At 36.8% G+C, this 17,274-nt stretch overlaps 1 protein-coding gene across 2 annotated transcripts in view; it reads left to right on the forward strand.

Moving 5' to 3' along the window:
- PDZRN4 (PDZ domain containing ring finger 4) overlaps positions 1 to 17,274 on the forward strand; it is a 386,426-nt gene that overhangs the window by 249,772 nt on the left and 119,380 nt on the right. The window lies entirely within an intron of this gene.

Consider the following 17,274-nt stretch of genomic DNA (forward strand, 5'->3'; position numbering starts at 1 on the left):
GCTTTATTTTTTCTTTCAGTACATTTCAGAATTGAGGGCAGACTTGCTGGTTTGGGGCTTTTAATTTTGGTTTTGGGTGGCAGTTTTCAGCTTCCTTGCCACTCCCCCTTCAGATGACTTCCTGTGGGATTCTTTTTAACATTTTGTGTATCTACTGCCAAGATGTCAGTCACATAACAGGAGTAGCACTGAGATCCATGTCTGTAATATTTTGAGATATCTCTTTCATTTTGGAATACTGTTGACATTTGAAAATCAATTGTATCATTGTCTGCATAAATATTGGGGTTTAATGGGTCTATGATCTCAGTTATTTTCAATAGACAGGAGAAGTTTCCTGCCAAATCCTGTTAGCCATAGGAAATTATTGGATGAATTGAGAATTTGTGCTTTGGTTTAAGAGGAAGACCTAGTAATTTTGTATTACATGAGGAAAAAATATATGCTATGTCCTGGCTGAAACAGGAGATAAAGAAATTCTCTTACCACTTGTTATTGGATCCTTTTTATAAGGTTTTTGTTTGTTTAGCACTAGAAATTAATTTTGAGAGCTTATTACAACAACTGTAGGTGACCTAGAAAAAAGTGTATAAATTTAGATGTCTCTTTTATGTGTATCTGAGGGCTTTTAGGAATACAAATAAGAAAACTAGATCCTGAGCCTTTATAGTTTTAACAGAATTTTCTTAACTTACTGTTTTATTGGGGGAGGTTCCCCTGGGAGTGTATGCTCAAGTTCGAATTTCTTATCTAGCAAAATAAAGTTTATTTCTCCCTTCTTCCAGTTTGTCCCAAAGGTGACACAGTGCTACATTTGTTCTTAGACAAGATTGCTGATGAAGGACGATGCTTGGGATGTTGGTGGCCCATGGCACAGCAGTAGCCAAGTGCCCACTGACTACTGGCTCCCTCAGATTTCCCCCTGACGTGATTCATTTCACAGTGGGCTAATTACAAAGTGGATTTGCTACACATGAAACAGCCTCCTCAGTTGCAATGTTAATGCACATTTTCATGGTAATGTGATCAGAGGCTCATTAGCCAGTTTCCAAAATGATCTTCTGCATTAATTAAATATAAAAATGACTGCTTTATCACCATAGACAGGAAAAAGAAGATTAACATTGTTAATTACACCAGGGGCAATACCTTTTGCTTCATTTTTTAATACAAACTTGCAAGGATAGGCTAAAATAATATTCATTTCCTAGATGAGCTCTCATCCACTTTGACTCATGAAAACAGTCTCTAGGTGGAACACTTTCCTTAGTTTGGTTGTTAGAGTTTGAGTTCTAGTATTGTTTCTCTTTGGGTGGTGGAGGAGCAGAGGAGTGGATTCATCAATCTTTTTATTTAATCTGAATTACTAAATTTATATAAAAGTATAATATGGAGAGCGTGGTAGGTGGCATCCTCCCTGATTATGCCTAGGTTAAGCTGTTTATATTCTACTAAGAAATCCAGCAGGATTACTGCAGCCAGAAAGGACCACTGTATTTGCTAAGAAGCAGGAGCCTTTGTTATGGATTTTTAAAATGCTTGTCTGTGAGTTTTGCCTTCAAGTGCTTCCTAAATCTTGAGAAAATAGATAAGCCATGCTCTTTATTGCCTCTACCTGTACTCCTCCATATATTTATTTTATTTTCTCTACTCCTGAGTTGCAGTACTTATGATCTTTAATAAAGGGGGTGAAAAATGAAGTATTAGCTTCCATTTAACTGGCTTTTATTAGATAAGCTAAAGCCCCAGCTTAAAGGTCTTGCATGTGTTTTCCAAGGGGAGCCCTCCTACAGTTTGTCCCCAGCTTTGCCTTCTATTTTATTGAGTTAATGGAATAGATAAGATATCAAAGGAAACCAGTGATAGGCTCATATAATACGCTGGAGCCCCGTGTGGTGCTGCAAACTAGTTTCTATTTTTATTTGGAGGAAAGGCAGCTCAGAGCACACATGAAAGTGAACATGTTCTTAACCAGGTGTTCAGGAGGGCACATAGCTTCCCCCATAAGAGAGGATACTATTTACAAAAGTGACTTGTGATTGGAAGCCTATTTCTAGCTGTATATTAAAATAAACTTTCTGGCACATACACTAACACCTGATTGCCCAAATCATATTTATTTAAAGAATTGTAATTCTCAGATCATTTGCCTTTTTGTTTCTTTTGTTACTATTCCTTATGAGCTAAGGCAAAATAAAGTTTACCAGGAGATATGAAAATTTAAGATTAGCAGCGATCACGAAACATATGATCAACAGGAAAAATGTTTAATTCTTTATAATAGAATCATTATGATATTGAACTTTTCCACGTTTTCTTTCTAGATTTAGTGACCTGATAATACAGGACACATAGAATGCAGTTTCTGGTTTATAACTGCAGTAAACAAACCAAATGTGCTCGCTGAGGAGTCCAGTAAAACAATCAGAATGGTGCGCTTAGGTGTGAAATGAGGTCAAGTTTATATTTTGTTGATATTTTTTGCTCCTCTGGAGGAGCTAAGACTTTCAATTGGCACAAGAGATGGAATGTCACCTCAAGAAAATTATTTTCAACTGGAGTTGGGCCAATCAGGCTCCAGTATGCACACAGATACAAGAATCTAGGGTTTGGGTGGACCCAGTAACCTTCACACCATGCGGTTTCCATGCATCTTTATGCACCTATTAACTTTTATATGTGCCAGGGACACAGTTTTTATCTACAGTGATTTATTTTATTCAAAGTAAGTTATTTATTAACCTCTTATGAATTAATAAAGGAGTAATGGGAACAATGTCCTTCTATTGACACAAACTGAACTGCCTGTTTCTTATTAATTTGATTAAATACCCATCTGGACCAAGAGAGCTACAATAGCTTGTTAGGTATTTCTGACCTAATAACAGATTTATTTCTGAGTAAGATTATATAATAATACTTAAATCTAATGACGTTTAAGCTTGATTTTTTCACATATGAATCCAGTGTAACTTTTTGATTGATTACGTGATGGTGATTATTGATGGGATGTTCGTTGGTGTCCAATAATGTGTTAAAATTGGGAGCAAATATTTAGAAGACCATACTATTAACAAGAAGCTGTTTATAGGATTTCATCTAAATCTCATATTGTGATATGCAAGATTCTATTCTTATTCACTTCCCACATCAGGGTAAAGAAATTAATTTGCCTTCAATCTCAGGAAAACCAGAAGTAGACTAGCACTAGTTCTCAGACAATGTCACTGCTGTGACTGCTGTTCTCTTCTAAGTGGATACTGTAGCACAACAGAGAGTACATTTATTAATTTGAATGGTTTGGCACAGCTAAGAGGTCTCCCCACCACCTGCATCTGTGAATTAGTAACATAAACTGAAACAGAACCTGCATTGAAAGTAACAATATTGGCAGCAGCTGACAATGAGAAGTTAGAATATTCAGACACTGTGCTAAGCACTTTTCCCTAAGCATCATCTTATTTAATCATCACAATATACCATGAAATAGTTACAGGATCCCTTCCCATAGCTTTTAAATATGCTAAAGTCTCCTCTATTCTAGAATGTTTCTTGGATCTCATATAATCTCCCTTCTCTGGGTGCTGTCCCAGATCTTTCAGAAATTTATTTTGTCTCATACTATGTAACCCCTACTCATAGTCTCTTAACATTTTCCCCCAGACTTTATCCCTTTCCCATGTTCCTTAGCGCCAGTGAAGGTCTCACCCTCCCTTTTGCTTTCAACAAAACTCAAAACCACTGAATGAAAAGGGCCACTTCTGCCTTCTCCACTCACACAGTGGCTCCCCTGGCTCTCTTATTTGTGCACATTCCCAGCATCAATTCCTGCCTTCCCACAGTCACAACTCCTTTGATTAACTCTCTCTGATACCGTAAGAATTTTCCCTCTTAGAATTTGCCATTGTGTCACTCCACCCTGATGGCTGCTGCTGGAATAATTTTCTAGAAAATGTTTAATGGCTCCCAATTACTATAAAATGAAGAAAACATGTCTTATTCCAGTATTAAAGGCCCTCTTGAGTGGCTTCTAGGTTTCTTTCCAATTGTCTCTCTTCCTATTCTTCCTCTAATGCAATTTGTAATTGCTCCAGACTCTATTTTTTGCTTTTCTCTTAAGGTAGGCCTCCCAATTTGGACCCTTGTAACTTACTTCCACTTTTCTTCAGCCTCTGTGGAATACACCTTGTAATCATCTCTGCCACTATTTTCTTCTATCACTAGTTATTCAAATGTCTCCTTGTGCAGAGAAATTTCTGCATTTATTGTTCTTTTTTTAAAAAAATTAATCTCTCCCACCTTCGGACTCCTTTTCATGTTTGCCTGCCTGGTATTATAGTCAATTCTGTATGAGTGAATTATAAGCATCTGGAGGGCAGGCCAGGTGCTTGTTTGTCCTTTCACCTTCACTCTCACAGCAGATCCTCATTAGGACTCACCAGGATGCCCTGCTCATCTGCAGCCTCTTTAGAATTAAACTACCCCATCCACAGCTGCTGGCGAAGGCCCATATCACTCTGTCTTCCTCTCTACTTTATATCTAACAGCTGATTAAACCAGGGACAAGCACCTTGTGCATAAAGTTGAGGGTTCAGTTAGGTTTTTTCAGTCTCAGAAATTTATATTGTGAAGTAGGACACTAGTAATGGGGCAAGGGTACAAAGGAATGTTGGTGGGGGAGCTTGGGGGTTTGTGTTCCACCATATCTATGAGGATCTGACCTACCAAGAGAATCAGAGACATCTAAGAAATGAAACAGATGGGTAATGAGAAAGGCTAAGAAATAAATAGCAAGTCCTCAGAATGGCTTTATTTCCCCAGTTCCAATACCTTCCTATGATAAACCTCTATTTTATTTGCTAGAATGAGGTGTCTGTTCCTTAAAATCAGAATAACAAGTGAGGATGCACTATAGTAATGGCTTGCTTTTATCAACTACTCAGCAGATGTCTTAAACTCTAGACATGTGGTTCAGTTCAAAAACTCTGTGTCAGCTCTGATTGCTTAATATGTGCCAAGCCCTGGACTTTGCCATGTGATAGTCCTTGCTTTTGAGAAATGCACAGTCTGGTAGCATAAGAGAGGCATAAACAGAGAATGTTCAATTTAACCTGGTAAATATTGAGTCAACAGAGATATTGACAGACAGCTATGGAAATGCAAAGGTGCTGCTCAGCATGATGGGAGCTTGGGGAGTGGGGGAGAAGAAGGGAGGAGAAACTAAAATGATGAAAGGGTTTTTAAAAAGCCAGTGGAAGTGGTAAACAGGCAGTAGATGTCAATGGATTGGGAGTTGGAAACTATAAGCAATAGGTATCGCTAAATGCTAAAGTAAGAGGCAGACTCCCTGGGTATGGCCTGACAGTGCTCAAGACAGACCCTAAAGAATTTCCCATCTTCCAATTTTCTGTTCATTTTTTTAAGAGAAAGAGAACTGTGATAAGAGTTCAATTGTAGATTTGGTTATGGTGTGTGTTTGGGGCCAATTGGGCTTGATTTGGGGATGGTGCACTACAGCAAGACTACAACAAGCGAAACCAACCAGGAGGCTGCTGAAAAGCCTAAGTTAGTGGTCAAAAGAATGTAAAAGGAGAATAAAAGTGAGGCCTACTAGGAGGTAATTTCAATAGGTATGTGGCTCTTGAGACTGGGTTGATGTCATGAAGTTTACAGAGAGAAGAAATAAAAGAAGGGAAGTGTGTTCTGAAAAGGAAGAGGAGATTGTTGATTTCATTTGCAGGATATCTAAGCAATGTCCAGGGACGGTGGAATAGTGAATATTCAAAACTAAAACTTGGCATATATGTGTCTGTTGGATGAGATCACCCAGGCAGATGTGATAAGTAAGGAGAACCAAAAAGTGAGGAGAGGTATAAGCACTGAGAAACAGGCCAATAAGAAGAAAGAAAAGGAAAAGACTGATATTGTTACAGAGTAGGAAGGAAAATAAGCAGAAAGTTATGGAAGTCAAGAGGAGAGAGATTTAAAATCGGAGTGGCCAGTGTGGTCAATTGCATTAGAGTGTGTAATAAGAACCGAGTATCTTTGGATTTGAAAATATGCTATGTGCTACTCAGATGCCTCTTTAGAACAGACTTGCTCCAGCTGCTGGGCGTGCTGTCAGCAAAAGCCTTTAATTTTAGGCTCCACTTTAACGGTCTTAGCTGCAGAAAATCCTTCACCCAACGTCATTCCCCTCCCTGGGAGGTAAATATCCAAGTATATACAGGTCTGGCCATCTTCTGCCCCAAGCCTGACTTGGGACACTCTGAAAGGCAATTTGAGCTTAAGAGCTCCCTGTAGCTGGTATTGGGCCTCACAGTTCCCTCCTTCTGCCCAATTCTGGTTCCTTCCTGTCCCTTCCACAAAGGGAACACTCCTTAGTAAACATCTTGCACACTACATTATAATCACTATATTCTCAGCATTGGCTTACTGGAGAGCCTAACCTGGTGATGATCACAGAGCATTTCAGTGCAGAAATGTGGAAAAATAATCCAAAAAGTGTTGGATTGAAAGAAGAGACTGAACTTTCAAAAACTTTAGATATGACAGATTGTCAAAAATGAAGTTACTGCTATCACTGGACTAAAGCTTTTCCTGTCCCTTTTTGTTAAATGCAAAATTACTTAAAATTGTGAAATGAAAAATGAAAGTTATCACTACCTTTCCTTTAAAAAGTAAAATAAGTTGATTTTACATCTTGAGCTATGATGTTCAGAGAGTGATGATAATATAGTGATTAAAAAATAAAACATGTACATTTAGCTAGAATGTTCCTTATTCAAGACCTTTGAAGAAAATCTTAAATGTCAGAGTGGTTTTGATATGCAAAAGACCTTTTATAAAAATAAATATTTTAATGATTATAATTAATTTAGGTAGGTTTAATAAGTGAAGAGCCCTTCCATCATAGAAAGATCAAAATATCATATATTTTATTAAAAATATATAACTTCTTTATATTTTCACTGTTTAATTGACACAGACCTAAGAGAAAGGCAGCCATTTCTAATTGCATATCTATTTAGATGGAATACTGTAGGAAAACATTTTCACTGTTTCCAAATTATACACAAGGGAGGCACGTTACTAAAATCTTAGCTAGAAAATATGCTTAGATATTTGACTCTTCGACTCACCTGAATTTGTTGGTGAAGTAAGATAATCTCATTAGAAAATTATTTAATTTCAATTTTGGTTACAAATATTTCCAAAACCCATGATCTTATTTACATAATTATTTAACCTGCACATTTGTTATTCATTTCCAATCATGTTAGTAACAAATGAACTGCATATCTTTGGCAAAAAGTGGTTTCTTTATAAGTGTTAAGTAATTAAGAATAAAGATTAATTGATAGTGCAAAAATCCTCCCACAACAGTCAATCACTGTCCAGTACATTCATTTTATATAAGTAGATTTTCATATATTGAATTTTCACAAGTCATTTAATAGGTATGCAATCAATCTGATTAAATGATTAAGAAAGACCCAAGAATTAAATCACTAGGTAGTCACTCAAAAGAGGTCCCCAGCTTGTGGTTTTATGAAGATTCTATACTCTTGACATGTTTATAATTCATGGGGAAAAGTGAGCACATTGCCCAAAACAGGATCTGCCTCAATCATTCAATCTTTTCCAGGCACTGTTTTCTCTCATTTTCCATCCTAGGGCATGCACCTTGAGAATTTTAGGTATTATTCTTAAAAAACTTCTTCTTGTGACTCATGTGAATTTAGAGTAGCACTGGGTAGCAATCATGTCTTCAGATTTAGAATTATAGATAATTCAAATGCAGCTGTGTTTTCTATATCTAAATGCAACGTTTCCAAAGTCATCAATATAACCTGTCCCATCTCCATCTCCCTTCCAGCTGTATTCATTTCTTCTTTATTAATTCTATCACTTTCAATGTGGAATACTAGCCTTAAAAGGGTTATTATGAATACTTTATTGCTTCCCTCAACAAAAAGCTTAAAAGGTAGCAGCCCCATATTCTCCTGTATTTCGACATGTAACATCTAATTGCTAATTTGTGCCATTCTGTAGCAAGCTGTAAATCTTGCTTTATGGTTGTTTAGGTCCTCTGAAGCTTTGCTTTTCCCCCTCCCTTCTGTTTTATGTAGCTTTATAGAAACATTGTAGGGCTTTATTTATTTATTTATTTATTTTGGAAACTTGCTCTCATCTCAGTGGAAATTAGATTTTTTTTTTCTGAACTAACCTCTCACTCCTAGGCCTCTTAAGGGTCTGTTTCAGATATCTTTACTAACAACGAAAAAGACTCTCCCAAGAGTATAGGAACAAAGAGAATTTCCAAACTACTTAGTATGGTTTAAAAAATAATAAATCTGCAGATGAAAGACCACTATTGTAATCAGTGACAGTAAATGTTTTTCTATAACTGAATCATGGTAGAATTTAGATGGTTTTTTTTTTTAGGTAAAGCAAAGTTTGGGAAAGAGCATTTCTCACTGAATACCAAAAATAATGATTCTGCATGTGCTTTGTGCTCAGAACTCTGCTAGATAGTAACACAGGACACAAAAGAAGCATAAGGAAAAAAAGAAGCCAGTCTTCCAGGAGTGTATCATGAAGGAATTAGAAGAAAGTGTGGAAAGGTATGACCTTAGTACAGTGGACATGGCAGAGAAAAGATAGTTCTCTATGAGCAAGGGGCATCTAAGAAACTTCATGGAACAGCCAGACAGTGGATATTATTCCCAATGGCCTAGTTTAGGAACCAAGGGCAATTTTTTTTTTTTTTTTTTGCTTCAGCATAATCATTGCATACCATTTAGTCAAAGGTAATGTGTTTGATGTCCAGGATGTATTGTAAAAGCCAAATCACAGAAAGATGACTTATAGGACATATTTTGGGGTAATGGGAACAGCTGGACTAAAGCAGGATATGGGACGACTATAGTTATTGAGGATCTTGATCTCCACACAAAAGTGAAGGGGCTTAGTGCCGTCATCCCCATGAGACACAAAACACCCTGAGGATGCAATCAAATAGAGTCTTCAGTCAATTTTAATCATAGAATATGTATAAATATTGTTTGCTTGGTACTTTAGTTAAAAGAGCTCAGCCACGCTAACTTGACCTACAATAGGTAGATTTTGCCATTTGCTCAAGTATGCCCTTTGTTTCCTTAATGAGTCATGTTTATAATGTTTGAAGTTGACTTTGCCTATGGAGTTATGAGCCTCAGTGTTAAGACAACATGGAAAATAATAAAAATGTTTTACTAAGATGGCACATTGTAGTGTTACTGTCTTTGGTGATTGCACACTAAATATCAAGCATAGCATGGGAGAAACACTGTGCATAGAAGAAAGAATAGAGACTTTTGAATCAAGCAGTCTTCTCTCTGACTGTGAGTTACTTAACTTCATTGAGCCTCTGTTTAATTGATAAGTCTGAACCTGTAAGTGTTTTTTTGAGGATTAAATGACACAATACGTTTAAAGGGTATAACACATTACAGGCATTACATAAATGGTAATTTTTATAGTTAGGGTATCATTTCAGTCTAACAATGACCCTATGAGATATGTAATACTGTCCCCATTTTACAGATGAGAAAACTGAAGCACAAAGTAGTCAAGTAACAAATTCATATTGTCAGCATGCAGGACACCTGGAGTTCAAACCAGGGTCTGCCTAATGTTAGAGTACATGTTCATTTTATTGTAAATACCAAATGTCCCATTTCATATTTATCCACTGAACTTACCCATAAATTTTGAATATCTGACATATAGTAGGCACTCAATAAGTATCTCATAAAGAAAAAAATGGAAGAAGGAATGGAGGAGAGGAAGGGAAGAAAGAAGTAAGAGAATCAATAAAAGATGCTTTTTAAATTGTTTTCCCTTGAAAGGGTCTATGGAAGATGCTCTTTTCGGCATAGGAAGAGAAATCCTCACAACTACTTCTTTCCCCATCATTTTAGTAACTTCAGTGAAATTATCTCACCTATGAGAGCTGATCAGTATGGGAAGGTGACTTGTCACTCCCCACTTTTGAGGGCTTGAAAGCCTTTCCCCACTTTTCCATAAATCCATTTCTGCCATGAAAGGTTCCTCGCAATCTGTTTTGTTTCCTCATTCTCTCCTAACAGCTAAAATTTTAACCAAAGAAAACTATAACTTTCTATTTAAGACAATGTGATTTTTCCCATCTCTTTTTCTTTCAACACAAAGTCCCTTATGCCTACAGTGCCTTTCCCACCTCTCCTTCCTCACCCCTATTCTGGTAAAAGCCCTAATACCTTATGGCTCAATCCAAAGTTTGCCACTTACGGAGTTTTCACTGAGTCCAGGACAGAGTCAGTTCATTCTTCTCAATGATTCTCTTCCATCATGCTTCACAACTTAAAGTATAGTCAGATGCTTCTGTGTGTGTATTTCAGTTCTGCTGCGCCTATGCAGTTCTACCATCCCATGCAGTGTATGGCCCAGAGCAGCTATTTAATACAAATTGAGTCAAAGAATAGGAGTGGGGACATAGTGAAAACTGCATTCACCAAGGAAACATTTTGTTATTGTCTCCAGTATTCACTGAGTTCTGTTTGAAAATAAAATCATTAAAGAAACTACATATGCTATGTTTTCTTGATTTCGAAAATGCCACCTATTTTAAGACACATATTAATTATGAGGTTCATCATCAAATTTAAGAACAGCTGGGGGAGCGGGATTGACAAACATATTTTAATATGCATATTGACTGCAAGCTATATCCCAGTTTCAGAAACAATAAGATATTGGGAAGAACTTGCCCCTTAGAATTGAGGAAACTGTCATTGCTTTTCTCCAAAAACAAAACATTTATTGGCCCTTCCTTTGCCCCAACTGGGCTCCTCTTCCTGTCTCTCTTATCCCAGACCAAGCATTTCATTACCTCGCTTTATGCAGACCCAACACATTAGGACCTCATCTTAAGATCTCCAGTCATGACAAAAAATGATAGAATTTTTATTATTCAACTGTCAAACCGACCAACACACTAAGCTATTCTTTCTTTCCAGAATCCTCCCATTTTTCTTCATCTGAATAAGTTATAATACTCCTCAAAGTGTGGTTCAGACATTGTTTTTTTCCAGGAAATCTTCCTAGAGTCCTTTGACTTGAGTAGGTCCTTTCTTTTCTCTTTCCAAGGTACCCAGTTCATATATCTGTCATAATATGTACCAAATGCTATTGTTTTCTCAGTTTACTTGCAGCTTCACTGATCTCCGAATCTCTGGAGGTCAAAAACCCTGTCTTCAATCTCTGCATCCTCAGCCTCTACCTCAGTACCTCTACAGATGTTTCTCAAGTAAAGGTGCATGACTAAATACTAAATGAATCCTGTCTCCAGAGTCAGATGATGAAGGTGACACAATAGCATAATAAGATGGGATCCCTGCCCTCAAGGGGGTTACTATCCAGCAGACATGGGTAATGGATGTGCACGCAAATAACTATGATGCAAAGAGCAATATTAGTTCTGTGTGTGAGAGAAAGACAGGGAGGAACAAAGTGTCATGAGATGTCATAGTGATGATAATTGTCTGTAGCATAGATGAAAATTAAAATTAAAAGTAAAAATTAAAATAAGGCATCTAAAATAGGATATATCTGTGTAAAATTAAATGAATCAATTATTGACTTAGTAATTGTGATGCATCTCCTTTTGCTGCCTTCTGTGCTGTAAAATTGAATTCACTATTTTGTGTAAAAATACTTTAATATGTTTGTTTTTATTTTACGTGGTTTTTGTCCATCATTGAAATAGTCAAGTATAGCTAAATTGTCAAATTATTGATTTTATATACACTCCTCTTTAGTATAAAAAGGATGTAAGTGATAGTTATAAAATATACTGGAAATTGCCTAAATTTTATTTGATGATGATGCCTTTGGGCTTCATAATTATGATAGTACTAAAATGAGAATTTCTTCAACTGCAAATATCCAAATTAAAATCATATAAAACAAAGAGTAGCCTAAGAAAACCATGAGAATCATTTTTAAAACTTTAAGCTTTAAATAAAACCTAACCCAATTTAATAATATACTAAACATATATTGTTGAATAACTCAAAACCATATTTCTTTTACTTGTATTATTTGTTATTACTTTTACATCTAGGATATTGTTTGAACCATGAAAAATATATGAAAATAAAGATAATCTCCCCTCATATGCCCAATATCAGTTAAGCTTTTCAGGAAACTAATTCAGTGGCCCACATATAACCTTAGATAGACAACTCAGAGAGGGTGGAAGTTAAGTTACTGCTTTTAAAAATTCATTTTAACCAAGATTAATTTTCCATTCCACAAAACTTAGCTTTAAACTGTGACCAAAATGCTAACCATATTTCCCATGTAAGACTAGAATCTTATTCAGATACTGGGGAATCTGAAGAAGGAGGGAAGGAGGAAAGATATCTTTACTGTCTTGCTTATGTTGGCCATTTTAAGAACTACATGCAAAAGTGATGTTTCTACCTGAGGATAAATTTACTCAAACTTCAAGAATTCATTGAGACCAAGTGCCGTGGCTCATGCCTGTAATCCCAGCACTTTTGGGAGCTGAGGCGGGGGGATCACTTGAGGCCAGAAGTTTGAAACCAGCCTGGCCAACATAGTAAAACCATCTCTACTAAAAGTAAAAAATAAAAGAAATTAACCGAGCTTGGTGGTTCATGCCTTTACTTTCAGCTACGTGGGAGGCTAAGACAAGAGGATTGCTTGAGGCTGGGATATCCAGGCTGCAGTGAGCTATAATTGTGCCACTGCACCCCTGCCTGTGTGACAGAGCAAGACCCTGTCTCAATACAAACAAACAAACTACATATATGTATATATCTGTGTATATATTACTATATATATATAATGTAAAATTTTTTTAAGTTTTTTGGGGACAAAATTTCACATCCAAGGAGATAGTATTGTACTGAATGGAAGACTGTTATAGTCTAACTTTCTCTTTAATACAGTTAATAGAATTGAGAGAAAGTCAGACCGTAACAGTCTTCCATTCAATTTAATACTATTTCCTTGGATGTGCAATTTAGATTTAAAAAAAAAAAACTTAGAAAATATCTCCTCCTGAATTGGCATAGACTAAATGGCTTAATTTAATCTTTTTCATTTCTACCTTCTGAATAAAAATGTCACCAATAAATACTAGTAACCTCAGCAAAGGTATAAATATTACCAATTTATTTGTATGATGTGGATACACATAGTTGGTTATTAACAGGTATTAAATAGAGTCTGTGACTGCACATTTTTGTTCAGGTTTATGGGCTCCATTTGGATACTATTACAAAAAGTTGGTGAAAGTAAGTTAAATATAAATTTACAAAGAAGTTGCCTTACAAAGCTTTTATAGTGTCACTCCAGTCTCTTGAAAGCAAAGTAAGTAGGTCTTAAATTTCAGGAAGATGAAAATATGGTTTTGTAACTGATCAATGACAAAAATAAAACAAAAAATCAAACAAAAGAGTGACAAAAGCATTTAGAGCAAATGGTGTATATAATTGCCTTCTCGCAATTTCTAAGATCATCTCATTGATTAAATGATCTTCTCTGATGGACTGCCGTTTTCTGGCTGAGTAATGGACACCTTATCTGTGCTGATGAACATGATCACCAGGTCCCCTCTGGTGTCCTGGAGCACAACCAGTAACAATATTGTCAATGTGCTAATGACTGCTCTGGGGTGCTTTCCTCATCTTCCTCACACCAAAGATACCTCATTCTCATCTTCTACTACAACCAGAAAATCATTTTAAACCTGGATTCTCACTTTGAAGTTTGCTTTGGCAGCTTTGAAGTATTTGCAGCTTTCTGGCCAGTATTATCTGTGTTTCATAGATCACAGAAAATTCTGAAAGAGGGAAAAGCACTTACTAATTTGAGATGTAGAATCTTTTGTTAATATGTTTCATATAGGGTTGGTTTCATTTCTTTAATATCCTGTAATAAGTTATTGCTTCTAGAAGGTGAATAAGAGACAAAAAAAAAAAAAGTGGCTAATAGGACCTTAGGGAACTACCTATGGCTCACACCTATAATCCCAGCACTTTGGGAGGCTGAGGCAGGCGAATCACAAGGTCAGGAGATTGAGACTATTCTGGCTAACACGGTGAAACCCTGTCTCTACTAAAAAATACAAAAAAAAAAAAAAATTAGCCAGTCGTGGTGGCGGGTGCCTTTGGTCCCAGCTACACGGGAGGCTGAGGCAGGAGAATGGTGTGAACCTGGGAGGTGGAGCTTGCAGTGAGCCAAGATTGCACCACTGCACTCCAGCCTGGGCGACAAAGTGAGCCTCCGTCTAAAAAAAAAAAAAAAGAAAGAAAGAAAAATTATAGTAGTCAGAGGTGGGAACCAAGGAGTGGTCTTATGATGCCTAATATTACCTTCAGGGCTCCAAATAAGAAGCCATCATGCATAGCAAATGGTACCCCTGCTCCTGAATATGTTGCTACATTTTAATTAGTTACTGGGTTACTTAGGGATATAGAGACCCACAGAGTCAAACTCTTTACTTAAAGTGTTAAATGCAATACATTTAATTTTTTTAATTTAAAATTTTAAATAAGCTAAATAGAAAACACCTCGTCTGTGTAAGTCCAAATGAAGTAATAGTATGTAACTAATTGTGAACCTGAATATCCATAGTTGTTAATATTTCATTTAGTCCAGCATTTCAGTTACCTTAATTTGCTGCAACGAAAAAGTGTTTTAATTATGTATACTGTCTTAGGTTAAGTGGCCCCAGAAACAGGCTCTGAGGCAGAGATTTGCGTGTGAGAAGCCTGGAGAGTTGTCCCAGGAACAACACCTGGGAGGAAATGAAGGTAGTCGGACTGGGCAGAGGAAAATGTAGAACTATGATGCAATCTTAACAGAGACCCCTGCTGATCTGATGGCAGAGAGAGCTCTGAAACTGGAATGGCCTGTCAGAGTTGTCCGGAGCCAGGCAAAAGAGCCATGCCATTATCCCTGGAGGAGTGAGCATAGCTTTGAATAAAGCAACTCCCTTTGACTGAATTCAGTTTCCAGAGTAGGAAGAAGCTGCAGCAGCCCATGCCCCCCGCCCCTGGGGGAGTGAATCCCTCGATCCTGAAGATGGGATCTCAGTCTTCAGCACCCACTGTGTACACCAATTCATCTTGTAATATGCAGACATAATTTCTAAGCCATAATAAAATTTTCCTTCCCAAGTAATTTTAATCACTTATGAGACAAGGTCGGGCTCCTTAAGGTTACATTGTCCTTCTCCTCTTTACCCACTTTGTTGCTTGTTTAAATCATTTCTGGAATTAAGAGTGTGTCATTGGAGCATATTCTGAGAATGTGACTTTGAAAGTCTGACCTGCGGACATGTGATAAATTGTGTCTGGAGATTGATTTTGCTGAGTGCTAATACCAAATCATGTAGCAACATAGTTTCACCTACTAAATATTGCCAGACCATATTGTTGAAGTCTGTGCTGCCACGGTCACCTCATCAGGATGTTTTCTGTCCTGTGACTAGTGGCTTCAAATGTACTCATCCATCTTCTTGTCCCATTACATTTGGTGTGACTGATGTTCTGTACCCATTAAAATTGATGGGAGAGAACAAAGAGAAGAAAAATGTGCCCTTCGATTGATTATTTCTCTGAAAGCGTAAATGAAAATTCTCCAGTACCAACAAGAGATTTAGAGTGGGGGGTTTCCCCCATTTATTAAGTGCTTTAATTAGCAGGTTTACGAAACAGAGTTTCCTGTTTATAAGGGTGCGTTTTTCAGCTCACTTTAAAATTTAATCTCCTTCTGAAATGTTTGATCTTTATAAGATGAATTTAATAGCTGTAACATTGTTTATAGTCAGGGATTGTTTTGGTGAATTCTCAGTACCAGAACCAATTAAATCAGATGCCTTCGTGTCAGGTTTTTTTTCTTCTGATGAGCTATCATAATGGCTCATTTTATGCTCTGTGATAGCCAATAATTAAATTGACCATTGTTGTAAGCTGAAGCCAAAACCAAAGTGATTTTGGAAGGCTCAATCTTCCTAGGTTTTTCTTGGATCTATTGAATGTTATCTTTGTGTTCAACAAATTGCAGAACAGCAAGATATCTCTGCAATACTCACAACACATTTGTTTAATTACATTATTGAATGTGTTAGGGGAAAAATAAAGCCTGCCCACTGGCTGAGATCAGGCTTCGGTCTCAACACCTCTTTCCTCCTGAGGTTCCTGCGTTTGAGTTAGAGGAAACAGTGTGGACTTGTTTCTTAGGAGACATGGTAGAGTCACATTTTTAAAAGATGTATTTTTTTCTTTTCTTACAAAATTCAAAATGAAATAAATGTGGCCAAATAATAAATAAATAATATGAGACTAGTTACTTTGGTCTGTATTCCCTTGCGGGAGATTGAATACCCAGGGATCTTTGGGGTCATTTGAGTGGTATGGATAGCATGGTCCCTTGAGGGAGACAGGAAAGTAAGAAACATTCTTCCGGTGTGACACTGGTCACAAGGATGGCAGGAGATATTCTAGGACTTTGACCATAGGAATATATCTGTGAACAGCTGTCAAGTTGGCTGTGGCCAAGCTGGTCCACATTTTCAGCAATATTAGTGATCATGTGCTATACAAATACTTGACCAACTGTGGGACAAATGGAACTAAGGAGACTACAGTTAGATCCTTTCCCTTATGTAAAAAATGGCCTGAACCAACACTTTCCAATAGAAATATCTGCGATAATGGAAATATTCTATATTTGTTCCATCAAGTACAATAGCCACTAGCCACATAGGACTGTTGAACAGTTGAAGTATGGCTGGTATAACTCAGGAATTGAACTTCTACATTTGGTCATTTTAGCCAATTTAAATTTCAGTTGCCACATGTGGCTAGACTATTGTATTGGACAGTGCAGGGTCTAGAAATTATTAAGGAATCATATGCAGTTATATAGAAATGATGTCTTAAAACCTTGAAGTCTACAGTTCAATTTATATTCTATCCTAACATTTAAAAATTCTCTCTATGGATTTTTTAGGGGGATGAATTTTGTTTAAATGTGTAGTGCTTTTTTAAGAACTGAAATGAAATATAAATTATAAAAGCAAGTATAAAATATGAATCCCATGGAATAGCCTACAAAGAGGAGGCTTAGAAACTAGAATACTAAAATAACTCCCTTAGATAGCAGCATTTAGTAAATAATCTTGACACTAAAATCTCATGAAAAAGATAGTCT

This window comes from Homo sapiens, chromosome 12 (assembly GCF_000001405.40).
Source record: "Homo sapiens chromosome 12, GRCh38.p14 Primary Assembly".
NCBI classification, from domain to species: Eukaryota; Metazoa; Chordata; class Mammalia; order Primates; family Hominidae; genus Homo; species Homo sapiens.